The 13,876-nt window shown below is 40.1% G+C and overlaps 1 protein-coding gene and 1 long non-coding RNA gene across 26 annotated transcripts in view; one reads left to right on the top strand and one right to left on the bottom strand.

The window, feature by feature from the left end:
* MTRF1 (mitochondrial translation release factor 1) overlaps positions 1–5,689 on the top strand; it is a 95,670-nt gene extending 89,981 nt beyond the window's left edge. For 22 of the 25 annotated variants that reach the window (NM_001354074.1, NM_001354076.1, NM_001354073.1 and 19 more), the window contains one exon: positions 4,830–5,689. In NM_001354074.1, the coding sequence (NP_001341003.1) occupies positions 4,830–4,943 (114 nt within the window). In that variant the 3' untranslated portion in view covers positions 4,944–5,689. Of the gene's footprint in view, positions 1–1,414; positions 1,682–4,829 lie in introns of those variants that run through there. The other 3 variants (XM_017020861.3, XM_047430788.1, XM_017020859.3) reach the window with 1 other exon arrangement.
* Positions 1–13,876, bottom strand: part of KBTBD6-DT (KBTBD6 divergent transcript) — a 103,759-nt gene that overhangs the window by 14,629 nt on the left and 75,254 nt on the right. The gene's annotated exons all lie outside the window — the stretch shown is intronic.

Raw genomic sequence — 13,876 nt, 5'->3', positions numbered from 1 at the left:
AAAAAGTCCTAGTTATACAAGGTTAATATGTTTGTCAATTTCTGTATGTCTTATGCCACATCCTCTGTCTCCTCAGCAGGATAAGGCTATCTTGCTTAGGAACATAGCCATGTTGAAAAGGAGGAAAATATTTGCTAATTTCCCTTTCCTCCGGAAACACACAGTATTAACGAAACGTGTTTGGCCATATTGTTCTAATTACACTATGTTCTTTCAGTTGTTTTTCTAGTAGTGACAATTTTTTCGGAGACAGCCACATTCTTATGACCAGTAATATCTTTTAGATGGGACCATAGGTGCATAGTATAGTATTCGGTTGTGAAACAAAGGGAAGGTAACTAACTGGCTTCTGTAGTTATAAAATATCTGACTTTGGCCTAAATAATAATATATCACTAACCAAACTAGCATGCCAGACTCAGAAGTAATAAGGAAAATAACACTGGTAAGCTCTAATAATCACTAACTAGTCTACTGGAAGAAGACATTCCATAGTAGTGAAAGGAACAAAGTTTGAAAACAGCATGAAAAAAGGTAGCTGTAGTAAAACATTAAAATCTGTGTGAAGGACAGTAAAGAGACTAGTAAGAGTGAATAATTGGCTGGGCACGGTGGCTCACGCCTGTAATCCCCGCACTTTGGGAGGCCGAGGTGGGCAGATCACGAGGTCAGGAATCGAGACCATCCTGGCTAACACGGTGAAACCCCATCTCTACTAAAAATACAAAAAAAAATTAGCCGGGCATGGTGGTGGGCACCTGTAGTCCCAGCTACTGGGGAGGTTGAGGCAGGAGAATGGCATGAACCCGGGAGGTGGAACTTGTAGTGAGCCAAGATCGCACCACCGCACTCCAGCCTGGGCGACAGAGCAAGACTCTGTCTCAGAAAAAAAAAAAAAAAAGAGTGAATAACTTAGGAACCAAATCATAGATGAAGCTGGAAAAGTGATAAGGATCTTAACCCCAGGGCAACAGCTGTTGGACAAATGGAAGGGGTAGATAGGAAAGAATGTGAGCGTTTTTGGAACTTTTTGCCTAGCTTTCCTCCCTTATTCTAGAACTTGCCCTTCGTACCACATCCACAGTTTCTGACAGAGCTGCTGCATTCTTACATGATCGTGATCCTGACCCAGGACAAAAGTGGATTTGTTTGGAGTGGACACCCAAATAAGTCCTAGCCAGTGAGTTTCTTCCCAGGATTTTAAGATCAGAGATGGAGAGGATTATTCTCTCTCTTGGTGGCTGAAACTGCAATATATAAAGCATGTAAGAGGTTAGAGGCCACATTTTCAGCCACCAAGAGAAAGCATCTTCAGTGAGAAGAGAATGAAATTGATACACAGAGAAAAGCAAAAATGAGAAATAGACAGAAAGAACCCTGATGATATGAGTCCCTACATTTATTTATTCCCAAGGCTCAGTCTCATTCCACGGGTGGTAGTCGTGACCCTGCACATTCCACATTCCTATCCTTGGATTCTGTGAGATCACCTGGTATTCTCATTATGACTTCTTCTGTTAGGTAACTTTCTTACTTTTATTTATCGAGCTAATAAGCACAGACTACCATATAATGTATTGTTTCACATTTTTATTGTTTCTCAATGTCCTTGTGCAGATTTCTTGACATCAGCCTTATCTCCTGCTCTATATTCCAGTTACACTGGAAATTTCCCCTGGCCTTAGAGATTTAAATGTACTTTGTTTTCCTGTTTTTTTTTTTTTTTTTTTTTTCCGAGACAGATTCTCACTCTGTTGCCCAGACTGGAGTGCAGTGGTGGAATCTCTGCAGCCTCTGCTTCCTGGGTTCAAGTGATTCTCCTGCCTCAGCCTCCTGAGTAGCTGGGATTACAGGTGTGTACCACCATGCCTGGCTAATTTTTCTGTGTTTTTAATAGAGAAGGAGTTTCACCATGTTGGCCAGGCTAGTCTCGAACTCCTGGCCTCAAGTGATCCACCCACCTTGGCCTCCCAAAGTGCTGGGTTTATAGCCTGAGCCACCGCGCCCCCAGCAGTTTTCCTGTCCTAATACTCATTCTTTTTTTTTTTTTTTTTTTTTTGAGACAGAGGTTTGCTCTTGTTGCCCAGGCTGGAGTGCAATGGTGTGATCTCAGCTCGCTACAACCTCCACCTGCTGGGTTCAAGCGATTCTCCTGCCTCAGCCTCTGGAATAGCTGGGATTACAGGCATGCACCACCATGCCCAGCTAATTTTGTATTTTTAGTAGAAACGGGGTTTCCCCATGTTGGTCAGGCTGTTCTTGAATTCCCGACCTCAAGTGATCTGCCTGTCTTGGCCTCCCAAAGTGCTGAGATTAGAGGCGTGAGCCACCACACCCAGCCTCTAATACTCCTTCTTTTGATGGAAATGCCCAGCTCATTTCTATTCGGGAAAATACTATTCTCTTTGTAAAACCAAATTCAAAACTTTCTGGCTTCCTGAATCTTTCCCTGATGCCACCTTTCTTCAAAATTCATGGTTCCTTACAATCCTTCCTTTCTTCTCCTTCATTTTTTAATTTATTATATTGTTTTGTGATGCTTATGTATTTGTCTAGCTGTTCTACTTAGACTGTTAGCCTCTGAAAGTTAGGAACTATGACTCATTCATCTTTGACCTTTGTATCTCCTGCACTCTGGTTAATCCAGTTGAATCTAATGTGTTTGACTCCCAGTAGAGGGATAATCCTTTTACATCAATTCCAAAGATGATTACCTTGGCAATACTATAATAATTTGAGTACCAGGTACATTTTTTTTTTTTTTTTTGAGACAGAGTCTTGCTCTGTTGCCCAGGCTGGAGTGCAGCGGCGCAATCTCGGCTCACTGCAACCTCTGCCTCCCGGGTTCAAGCAATTCTCCAGCCTCAGCCTCCTGAGTAGCTGGGACTACAGGCACACACCACCACGCCTGGCTAATTTTTGTATTTTTAGTAGAGACGGGGTTTCACCATGTTGGCCAGGCTGGTCTCAATCTCCTGACCTCAGGTGATCTGCCCGCGTCAGCCTTGCGAAATGCTGGGATTACAGGCATGAGCCACTGCTCCTGGCCTAGTCACACTGATTTTAAAAGCAATTTCATATTTTGCTCAAAGTGATATAAACCTTAATTTTAAAGTTATATCATAGTGTTTTTGCTTTCTGTTTAATTTCAGAGTTTGAGGTTTTACTATATGCTGGTACTTTGGGGAATACAGAAATAGTAAGATATATCCTTTACCTTAATTTGAGAGATGTGTGTGTACACTTCCTAAAGTTCAACTTTAAGACCATTCAAGAAAGACTTAACTATAAGATTAGTTCATAACTATATCAAAACTAAATGTTTTGTGTTCCAGATGCCAACATTAAAGTATTTTCATTAAGCCAGTGTCTAAATTTCAAGCATTTCTAAAATGGCAATGTACAAATTCATTAATCCCAACAACTTTACTACACAGAATTTCTGTTATACAGGAAAAGTTCTTGAAGTCATTAATTTAGTCATTTTTCAGAGAACTGTAGACGAGACTTCAGGGAAGTCAACTCAAAACAGTTTTCACCCAGTGGAGTTATTTAGTGGTAAACATGAAAATTTTTTTTCTCAACTTTTTATTTCAAACTTTTTCAAGTTTACATAATGTTTAAAGATTGGGTCAGCTGGGCACAGTGGCTCACACCTGTAATCCCAGCACTTTGAGAGGCAGAGGTGGGAGGATCGCTTGAGCTCAGGAGACCATCCTGGGCAGCATGGCAAAATCCTATCTCTACAAAAAAAAAAAAAAAAAAAAAAAAAAAAATTAGCTGGGTGTGTAGCATGTGCCTGTAGTCCCAGCTACTCGGGAAGCTAAGGTGGGAGGATTGCTTGAGCCCAGGAGGCAGAGGTTGCAGTGAGCCGAGATCACACCACTATACTCCAGCCTGGGCGACAGAGCAAGAGCCAGTCTCAAAAAAAAAGATTAGTCAATCAGCACAATATAGACTATACCTAGATTCAACAGTTGTTAATATTTTACTGTATTTTCCTTCTCTTTCCCCCCACCATTTCCTCTGTCTCTCTATAAACCTGTGTTGCTCTTGAACCATTTGAAAGCAAATTGCAGACCTCAAAGACACTTCACCCCTAAATATTTCAACAAAAATATTTTTCAGTTACACAGGACTTCTAGATCATCATGTTTTCGGTTTAAAAATAAAAAACTATCATAAACCACTTACAGATGAAATAATCTAAACTTTGAGGATTAGCAGAAGGGTGAGCTTGAATGGTCGGGGGAGGCTTCCTCTCAGTCAGATCCAGAGGAGTTGGCAAGGAGCAGTATGTGCATTAATGCACAAAATGCTTGTGGAACAAATTGCTTGTGGAATTGAGACCTTTCAGTCTTTTTCCTCTGGGAAATAACATAATGTGAGTGAAAAGGGTAGAATTTTCAGGACAAGAATAAAAGCATTTTTTTTTTAGGGTACAATAAGAGAAAATCCAGCAAACCCGTTCTCCTAAAGATGGTTTGAGAGCCTAGAATGGTGTTGTCATAAAAGCCAATCAGTGGAATTTTAAAGGGAGGGAGGTGGTCAGTTTCAAAAGTCCATCTAGATCTCTTTGTTTTGTTGTCTCTGGAGTTGTTAGGAAAATCCAAATCTCAGAAGATTTATTTTAAAATAAAATGCTAACTGAATTCTTCTACAGAGTGGGGATCTTCCCAAGTTAGCGATTGTGTTCATTGTATTACAGAACATTAGTAATCCTTTATTGTTATTAAATAATGACTGCAAAGAAATTAAATAAATAAACACTAAAGTCTTTGCTTATATTTCTAATCATTAGGTTTCATAATAGCTCTCTCTTTTACCAGGAATTTTTATGTGGTGGGAAGGGCCTGGATCAGCTAATTCAGAGACTGCTTCAATCAGCAGATGAAGAAGCCATTGCTGAACTTTTGGATGAACACCTTAAATCAGCAAAATAAATACTAACTTATTATTATTTATGATTATATAAATGAAATGGACCTATATCAAGAGGCAGACTGAAGCTTGGAAATCATTATGAATATTTGTAAATTACAGCTTTAAGAACACATTACACATAAATATATGTTTTGTAATTAATCGAAGTCACATTTCCTGACCTAAGAATTTATTTTAGGTTTCCTGTAAAGTACAATCCAACTCATCAAGTAGAAAATAAGCATGCATCATTGAAAAGAGAAAGTATTGAGAATTGATTGTGTCATTTAGGACAAGTCACTTGTTCTCTTTATATGCCTTTTTTCCCCAGCCATCTATGAATTAATTTAAATATATTTTTAATCTACTACTTCAGGAAAATATGGTAAAATTTAGTAAAATATGAATTTTAGACTTCCTTATAAACCTTTTATTTAAATACAAAGTACCTTGGCCTATAGTGGATGCTTATGCCTGTAATCCCAGTGCTTTGAAGGGCCAAAGGGGGAAGATCTCTTGAGGTAAGAATTTGAGACCAGCCTGGGCAAAATAGACCCCATGTCTACAAAAAAACTCAAAACATAAAGAAAAACCATAATACTGTTAATCATGTTAAAGTTAAGACTTAGACTGCAACTTTTAAATAAAAATTATGAAGAATATGAGTCATTCAATAACAATGAGCATCTGGGTACAGACAGTAAAGCCCTTTGATTGCTGTATGAATTCCACACTATATAAACAATAAGCTGATATTTTAAATAGACTCTTTGTTTGACTTCTATTTCTTTTTTTTTTTTTTTTTTTTTTACTCCTGGCAAGCTGGAGTAAAAAAGTTATTGTTTGCTGGCTTAACTTAATGAGCATCAATAGATGTGTAATATGAGTAATACACTGAGATCAGTTTTGTGCAGCATTATATAAAACCCAGTCCTTACCTTAAAGAGCTTGCAGTTGACTGAAGGATTTAAACATGTAAATCACCAAGTAATACAGAGTGGCATGATGTATTTAGTAATTGTTCCGAAGACGTTTCAAGTTAAAAAGAGAGGAATGGCTGGGCACAATGGCTCATGCCTGTAATCCCAGCACTTTGGGAGGCCGAGGCGGGCAGATCACTGAGGTCAGGAGTTCAAGACCAGCCTGGTCAACATGGTGAAGCCCCATCTCTACGAAAATACAAAAACTAGCCGGGCATGATGGTGGATGCCTGCAATCCCAGCTACTCAGGAGGCTGAAGCAGGAGAATCGCTTGAACCCAGGAGGCGGAGGTTACAGTGAGCTGAAATCGCGCCACTGCCCTCCAGCCTGGGTGACAGACCAAGACTCCATCTCAAAAAATTAAAAAAAAAAAAAAAAAAAGAAAGGATTATTATTTTAGTTACTCCTCAGAGAAGAGTTTATGTGCCAAGAAAGACTAGTTAAGAGTTTTAAGGCCAATGGAATTGTTTGTATGTAAACATTAAAGAGGAATGTTTTCCCTAATTTTTATTTTGAAAATATTCAAGCATAATGAAAAAGTCTAAAATAAATTATTTATTTATTTATTTTTGAGATAGAGTCTCGCTCTGTCACCCAGGCTGGAGGGCAGTGGCGTGATCTCGGCTCACTGCAACCTCTGCCTCCTGGGTTTAAGAAATTCTCTGCCTCAGCCTCCCAAATAGCTGGGATTACAGGTGTGTGCCACCACGCCCAGTTAATTTTCTTGTATTTTTAGTAGAGATGAGGTTTCACCATCTTGGCCAGGCTGGTCTTGAACTCTTGACCTCATGATCCACCCACCTCAGCCTCCCAAAGTGCTGGGATTACAGGTGTGAGCCACTGCGCCCAGCCAAATTATTTTTTTAGAGACAAGGTGTCACTCTTGCCCAGGCTGGAGTGCAGTGGCATGATCATAGCTCACTGTAACCTTGAACTCCTGAGCTCAAGCAATCCTCCCACCTTAGCCTCCCAAGTAGCTGGGACTACAGGCATGCATCACCATACCCAGATAATTTTTTTATTGTTGTAGAGATGGGGTCTTGCTATGTTACGCAGGCTGGTCTTGAACTCCTGGCCTTAAGTGATCATCCTGCCTCAGCCTTTCAAAGTGCTGGGATTACACATGTGAGCCTTTGTGCCCAGCCACAATAATTTTTAAGAAATAGTTCAATCAGGAGAGGTCTGAGCAAGATGGCTGAATGTAGAAACCTTTACCAATTGTCCCCCAATGCAGCAACACTGATTTAACAACTATTTACACATACAAAAAGCACCTTCATGAGAACCAAAAATCAGGTTAGCAATCACAGTACCTGATTTTAACTTCATATCACTGCAAGAAGGTAGGAAAGATAGTTTTGAATTGGTAACGCTGCTCCTTCCCCGTTCCCCTAGCAGCAGCAGGTGCTGTGCCCTTGAGAGAGGGAAAGCACAGCAATTTTGGGACCCTGTGTTGAACTCAGTGCTGCCTGGTCACAGCAGAAAGCAAAACTGAGTTAAACTCAGCAGATGCCCATCCACAGAGGGAGCATCTAGACCAGCCCTAGCCAGAGGGGAATTGCCCATCCCAGCGGTCAGAACCTGAGTTTCAGCAAGCCTCAACACTGTGGGCTAAAGTGTTCTAAGGTCCTAAATAAACTTGAAAGGCAGTCTAGGCCACAAGGACTGTAGTTGCTAGGTAAATCCTTGTTCTGTGCTGAGTGCAGAGCCAGTGGACATGGGACACCAGTTGGGTGGCTAAGGAAGGGCTTGTGCCACCCCTCCCCCAACCCCAGGCAGTGCAGCTCACAGCAATAAAAGTGACTCCCTTCTGCTTGAGGAGAGGAGAGGGAAGAGTAAGGACTTTGTCTTGCATCTTGGATACCAGCTCAACCACAATAGGACAGGGCACCTGACAGAATTGTGAGGCCCCCATCCTAGGCCCTAGCTCCCAGACAACATTTCTAGACACACCCTGGGCCAGAAGGGAACCCTCTGCCTTGAAGGGAAGTACTCAGTCTTGCAGGTTTCATCACCTGCTGACTAAAGAGCCCATGGGCCCTGAGTAACCAACAGCGATGCACAGGCAGTATGCTGTGGACCTTGAGTGAGACTCGGACATGCCAGCCTCAGGTATCAGCTTGGCCATGGTGTAGAGCACCAACGGGCTCTTGGGGTCCCCAGGTCCAGGCTCTTGGATAGCATTTCTGGACCTGCACTGTGCCAGAGGGGATTTCACTACCCTGAGGGGTGAGTTCCAGGCCTGGCAACATTTGTCACAGCTGACTGAAGAGCCCTTGGGCCTTAAGTGAACACTAGTGGTGGTCTGACAGAATTCGCCATGGGTCAGTGGTGGCAGAGGCCATAGGGAGAGGCCCCTCTGCTTGTGGAAAGGGGAGGGAAGAGTGTGAAGGATTTTGTCTTGTGGTTTGGGTGCCAGCCTAGTCACAGTAGAATAAGACACAAGGTAGACTTCTTGTAAGGTTTTTACTGCAATCCCTGGCTCCCAGACAGCATCTCTGGACCTGCCTGGGGCCTGGGAGAACTCACCATCCTGAAGAGACGGACACAAGCTTGGCTGGCTTCACCACCTGCTTATTGTAGAGCCTTACGGCCTGTGCAAACATAGGCAGTAGCCAGGTGGTGGTTACAATGGGCTTTGGGCAAGACCCAGTACTATGCTGGTTTCAGGTCTGCCTCAGGGCAATTACACTGGTGGTGGCCACATGGGTGTTTGCATCACCTCACCCCCAGTTCCAGGCGGCTCAGCACAGAGAGACTCTGTTTGGGAGAAAATAAGGAAGAAAACAAGAGTTTCTGCCTGGTAATCCAGAGAATTCTTCATAATCTTATCCAAGACCACCAAGGTGGGACTTCTATGAGTCTGCAAGAACCATAGCATTACTGAGCTTGGGGCCCTAGTCCCTCTGTATACCAGGAAAGCCTTCTCAAGAAGGGCAGGCACAGATTGCAAAGCCCAGATTGCAAAGACTATAATAAATTCCTAACTCTTTATTGCCCAGACAAACATCTACAAGCATCAGCACCAGCCAGGAAAACATGATCTCACCAAATGAACTAAATAAGGCACCAAGGACCAATCCCAAAGAAAAAGAGATGTGACCTTTGAGACAGAGAATTCAAAATAGCTGTTTTGAGGAAACTCAAAGAAATTTGAGATGACACAGAGAAGGATTTCAGAATTCCATGAGGTAAACTTAACAAAGAGATTGAAATAATTAAAAAGAATCAAGCAGAAATTCTAGAGTCAAAAATGCAACTGACATACTGAAGAATGCATCAGAGTCCAGTCCCTTAATAGCAGAATTGAACAAACAGACGAATTAGTGAGATTGATAACAGTCTATTTGAAAATACACAGAGGAGGCAGGGCACTGTAGCCCATGCCTGTAATCCCAGCACTTTGGGAGGCCGAGGTGGGTGGGTCACATGCAGTCAGGAGTTCAAGACCAGACTGACCAACTTAGTGAAACCCTGTCTCTCCTAAAAATACAAAAATTAGCTGAGTGTAGTGGCGCATGCCTGTAATCCCAGCTACTTGGGAGGCTGAGGCAGGAGAATCACTTGAACCCGGAAGGCGGAGTTTGCAGTGAGCCAAGATCACACCACTGCACTCCAGCCTGGGCAACAAGAGCGAAACTCTGTCACACACACACACACATACACACACAATACACAGAGGAGAGGAAAAAAGAATCAGAAAGAGTGAAGCACAACTACAAGATCCAGAAAATAGCCTGAAAATGGCAAATCTAAGAGTGGCCTTAAGGAGGAGGTAGAGAAAGAGATGGAGGTACAAAGTTTCTTGAAAGCGAAAATATCACAGAACTTCCCAAACCTAGAGGAAGATACTGATATTCAATACAAAAAGGCTATAGAACACCACGCCAATCTAACCCAAAGATGACTACCTCAAAGCATTTAATAACCAAACTTCCAAAGCTCAAAGATAAAGAAAGGATCTTAAAAGCAGCAAGAGAAAAGAAACAACATACAGTGGAGCTCCAGTATGTCTGGCAGCAAACTTTTCAGTGGAAACTTTACAGACCAGAGAGAGAGTGGCATGACATATATAAAGTGCTGAAGGAAAAAACTTTTATTCTAGAATAGTATATCCAGCAAAAATATCCTTCAAGCATGAAGGAAAAATAAAGACAGAAAAACAAAAGCCAAGAGATTTCATCAACACCAGACCTGTCCTAAAAAAAAAAGCTAAAGGGAGTCCTTCAATCTGAAATAAAAGGAGGTTAATGAGCAACAAGAAATCATCTGGGGCTGGGCACGGTGGCTCATACCTATAATCCCAGCACTTTGGGAGGCCAAGATGGGCAGATCACCTGAGGTCAGGAGTTCAAGACCAGCCTGATCAACATGGAGAAACCCTGAATCTACTAAAAATAATACAAAATTAGGCATGGTAGCCCATGCCTATAATCCCAGCTATTTGGGAGGCTGAGGCAGGGGAATCACTTGAACCCAGGAGGCAGAGGTTGTGGTGAGCCAAGATTATGCCATTGCACTACCGCCTGGGCAACAAGAATGAAATGTCGTCTCAAAAAAAAAAAAAAATCTGCAGGTATAAATCTCACTGGCAATAGTAAACACATCAGAAAACACAGAATATTATAATACTGTATTTGTGGGGTGTAAATTACTCTTCAGTAGAAAGACTAAATGATGAAGCAGTCAAAAATAATAACTACAACAACATTTCAAGACATAGTGCAATAAGACATAAAGAGAAACAAAAAAAAGTTAAAAAGTGAAAGAAGATAGGAAGGAAGGAAAGAAAGAAGGGAAGACCACAAAACACCAGAAAACAAATCACAAAATAGCAGAAGTCAGTCCTTACTTATTAATAATAACATTAAATGTAAATGGCCTAAACTCTCCAACAAAAAGACGTAGAGTGGCTAAATGTATGAAAAAATAAGACTCAATCATCTGTTGCCTACAAGAAGCACTTTTCACCTATAAAGATACATATAAACTGAAAATAAATGGATGGAAAAAGATATTTCATACCAATTGAAACAAAAAAGAACATGAATAGGCCAGGCGCAGTGGCTCATGCCTGTAATCCCAGCACTTTGGGAGGCTGAGGCAGGCAGATCACAAGGCCAGGAGATTGAGACCATCTTGGCTAACATGGTGAAACCCCATCTACTAAAAATACAAAAAATTAGCCAGGCATGATGGCAGGTGCCTGTAGTCCCAGCTACTCAGGAGGCTAAGTCAGGAGAATGGTGTGAACCCAGGAGGCGGAGCTTGCAGTGAGCCGAGATCGTGCCACTGCACTCCAGCCTGGGCGACAGAGTGAGACTCTGTCTCAAAAAAAAAAAAAAAAAAAAAAAAAAAAAAAAAACAGCATGAATAGTTATATCAGACAAAATAGATTTCAAGAAAAAAACTATAAGAAGAGACAAAGAAGGTTATATAATGATAAAGAAAGGGGTCAATTCAGCAAGAGGACATGATGATTGTAAATCTATATGCATCCAACACTGGAGCACCCAGACATATAAAGCAAATATTATTGGAGCTAAAACAAGAGATAGGGGCTGGACATGGTGGCTCACACCTGTAATCCTAGCACTTTGGGAGACCAAGGCAGGAGGATCACTTGAGCCCAGGATTTCAAGAACAGCCTGGGCAATATAGCAAGACCCTGTCTCTACAAAGAAAAAAAAATTTTAAGAGAGATAGACATCAATACAATAATAGCTGGGGACTTTAACACCCCACTTTAAGCATTAGACAAATCTTCCACACAGAAAACCAACAAACATTAGACATAATGCTTCAGTATGTCAGTTGCATTTTTCAACTCTAGAATTTCTTCTTGATTCATTTAGAAATAAATGGAACTAATAGATATTTACAGAGCCTTTCATATAATGGCTGAAGAATAGACATTCTTTTCCTCAGCACATGGATCATTCTCAAGGATAGACTGTGTATGTTAGGTCACAAAACAAGTCCTAAAACATTCAAAAAAAGAAGTGAAATAAAATCAAGCATCTTACCTCAATGGAATAAAACTGGAAATCAATAATGAGGAATTTTGGAAACTATACAAATGCATGGAAATTAATATACTCCTGAATGACCAATGAGTCAATGAAGAAATTAAGAAAGTAATTGAAAAATATCTTGAAACAGATGATAATGGAAACATAGCATACCAAATTCTATGGGATACAGTGAAAACAGTACTAAGAGGGAAAGTTATAGCTACAAGTACCTACACCATAAAAAAAGAAAAACTTCAAATAAATAACCTAGCGGGGCATCTTAAAGAACTAGAAAAGCAAGAGCAAACCAAACCCAAAATTAGTAGAAGAAAAGAAATAATAAAAATTAGAGCACAAATAAATGAAATTGAAATGAAGAAAATGATACAAAAGATCAATGAAATGAAACGGTGGTTTCTTGAAAAGATAAAATTGGACAAACCTTTAGCCAGACTAACTAAGACAAAAGAGAGAAGACCCAGGTAAATAAAATCAGAGATTAAAACGGTCACATTACAACTGATACTGCAGAAATTCAAAGGTTCATTACTGGCTACTATAAGCAACTATATGCCAGTAAGTTGGAAAATTTAGAGGAAATGGATAAATTCTTAAACACATACAACCTACCAAGATTGAACTATGAAGAAATCCAAAACCTGAACAGACCAATAACAAGTAACAAGATCAAAGCTGTAAAAAAAAAAAGAGAAAAAAAAAAGTCTCCCAGTAAAGAAAAGCCTGGGGCCTGATGGCTTCACTGCTGAATTCTACGAAACATTTAAAGAATGGACACCAATCCTATTCAAACAATTCTGAAAAACAGAGGAGGTGGGAATACTTCCAAACTCATTCTCTGGGGCCAGTATTACCCTGATAACAAAATCAGACAAAGACACATTAAAAAAAAAAAAAAAAACACACAGGCCAATATCCCTGATGAATATTGATGCAAGCATCCTCAACAAAATACTAACAAACTGGATTCAGCAACACATTTTAAAACATCATTCATCATGACCAAGTGAGACTTGTCCCAAGGATTCAAGGATAGTTCAACATATGCAAATCAATCAATATGATACATCATATTAACAGAATGGAGGACAAAAATCATATGATCATTTCAATTAGTGCTGAAAAAGCATGAATAAAATTAATAAAATTCAACATCCCTTCATGTTAAAAAAAAAAACCTCAGAAAACTGGGTACAGAAGGAATATATCTCAACATAATAAAAGCCATGTATGACAGACCCATAGCTAGTATCATACTCAATGGGGAAAAACTGAAAGTCTTTCCTCTAAGATCTGGAGCACAACAAGGATGTCCACTGTCACCACTGTTATTCAACATAGTACTGGAAGTCCTGGCTAGAGCGGTCAGACAAGAGAAAGAAATAAAAGGCATCCAAATTAGAAAGGGAGAAGTCAAATTATCCTTGTTTGCAGATATGATTTTATATATGGAAAAATGTAAAGACTTCACCAAAAAACTATTAGAACTGATAAAAAAAAATTCCGTAAAGTTGCAGGATACAAAATCAGTAGCATTTGTTTTTTCTGTTTCTGTGAAGAATACCACAAGTGAACAATCTGAAAAAGAAATCAAGAAAGTAATCCAATTTATAATGTCTACAGATAAAATATCTTGGAATTAACCAAAGCAGTAAAAGATCTCTATAATGAGAACTATAAAACACTGATGAAAGAAATTGAAGAGGACACCAAAAAAATGGAAACATATTCCATGTTCATAGATTGAAAGAATGAATATTGTTAAAATGGCCATACTACCCAAAGCAATCTACGTATTCAATGCAATCCCTATCACAATACCAGTGACATTCTTCACAGAAATAGAGAAAGCAATTCTAAACATTATATAGAACTACAAAAGCCCATAATAGCCAAAGCTATCCTGAGCCAAATGAACAAGACTGGAGGAATCATATTAC

Source organism: Homo sapiens, chromosome 13 (assembly GCF_000001405.40).
Source record: "Homo sapiens chromosome 13, GRCh38.p14 Primary Assembly".
NCBI classification, from domain to species: domain Eukaryota; kingdom Metazoa; phylum Chordata; class Mammalia; order Primates; family Hominidae; genus Homo; species Homo sapiens.
This window is presented reverse-complemented; position numbering and strand designations above follow the sequence as displayed.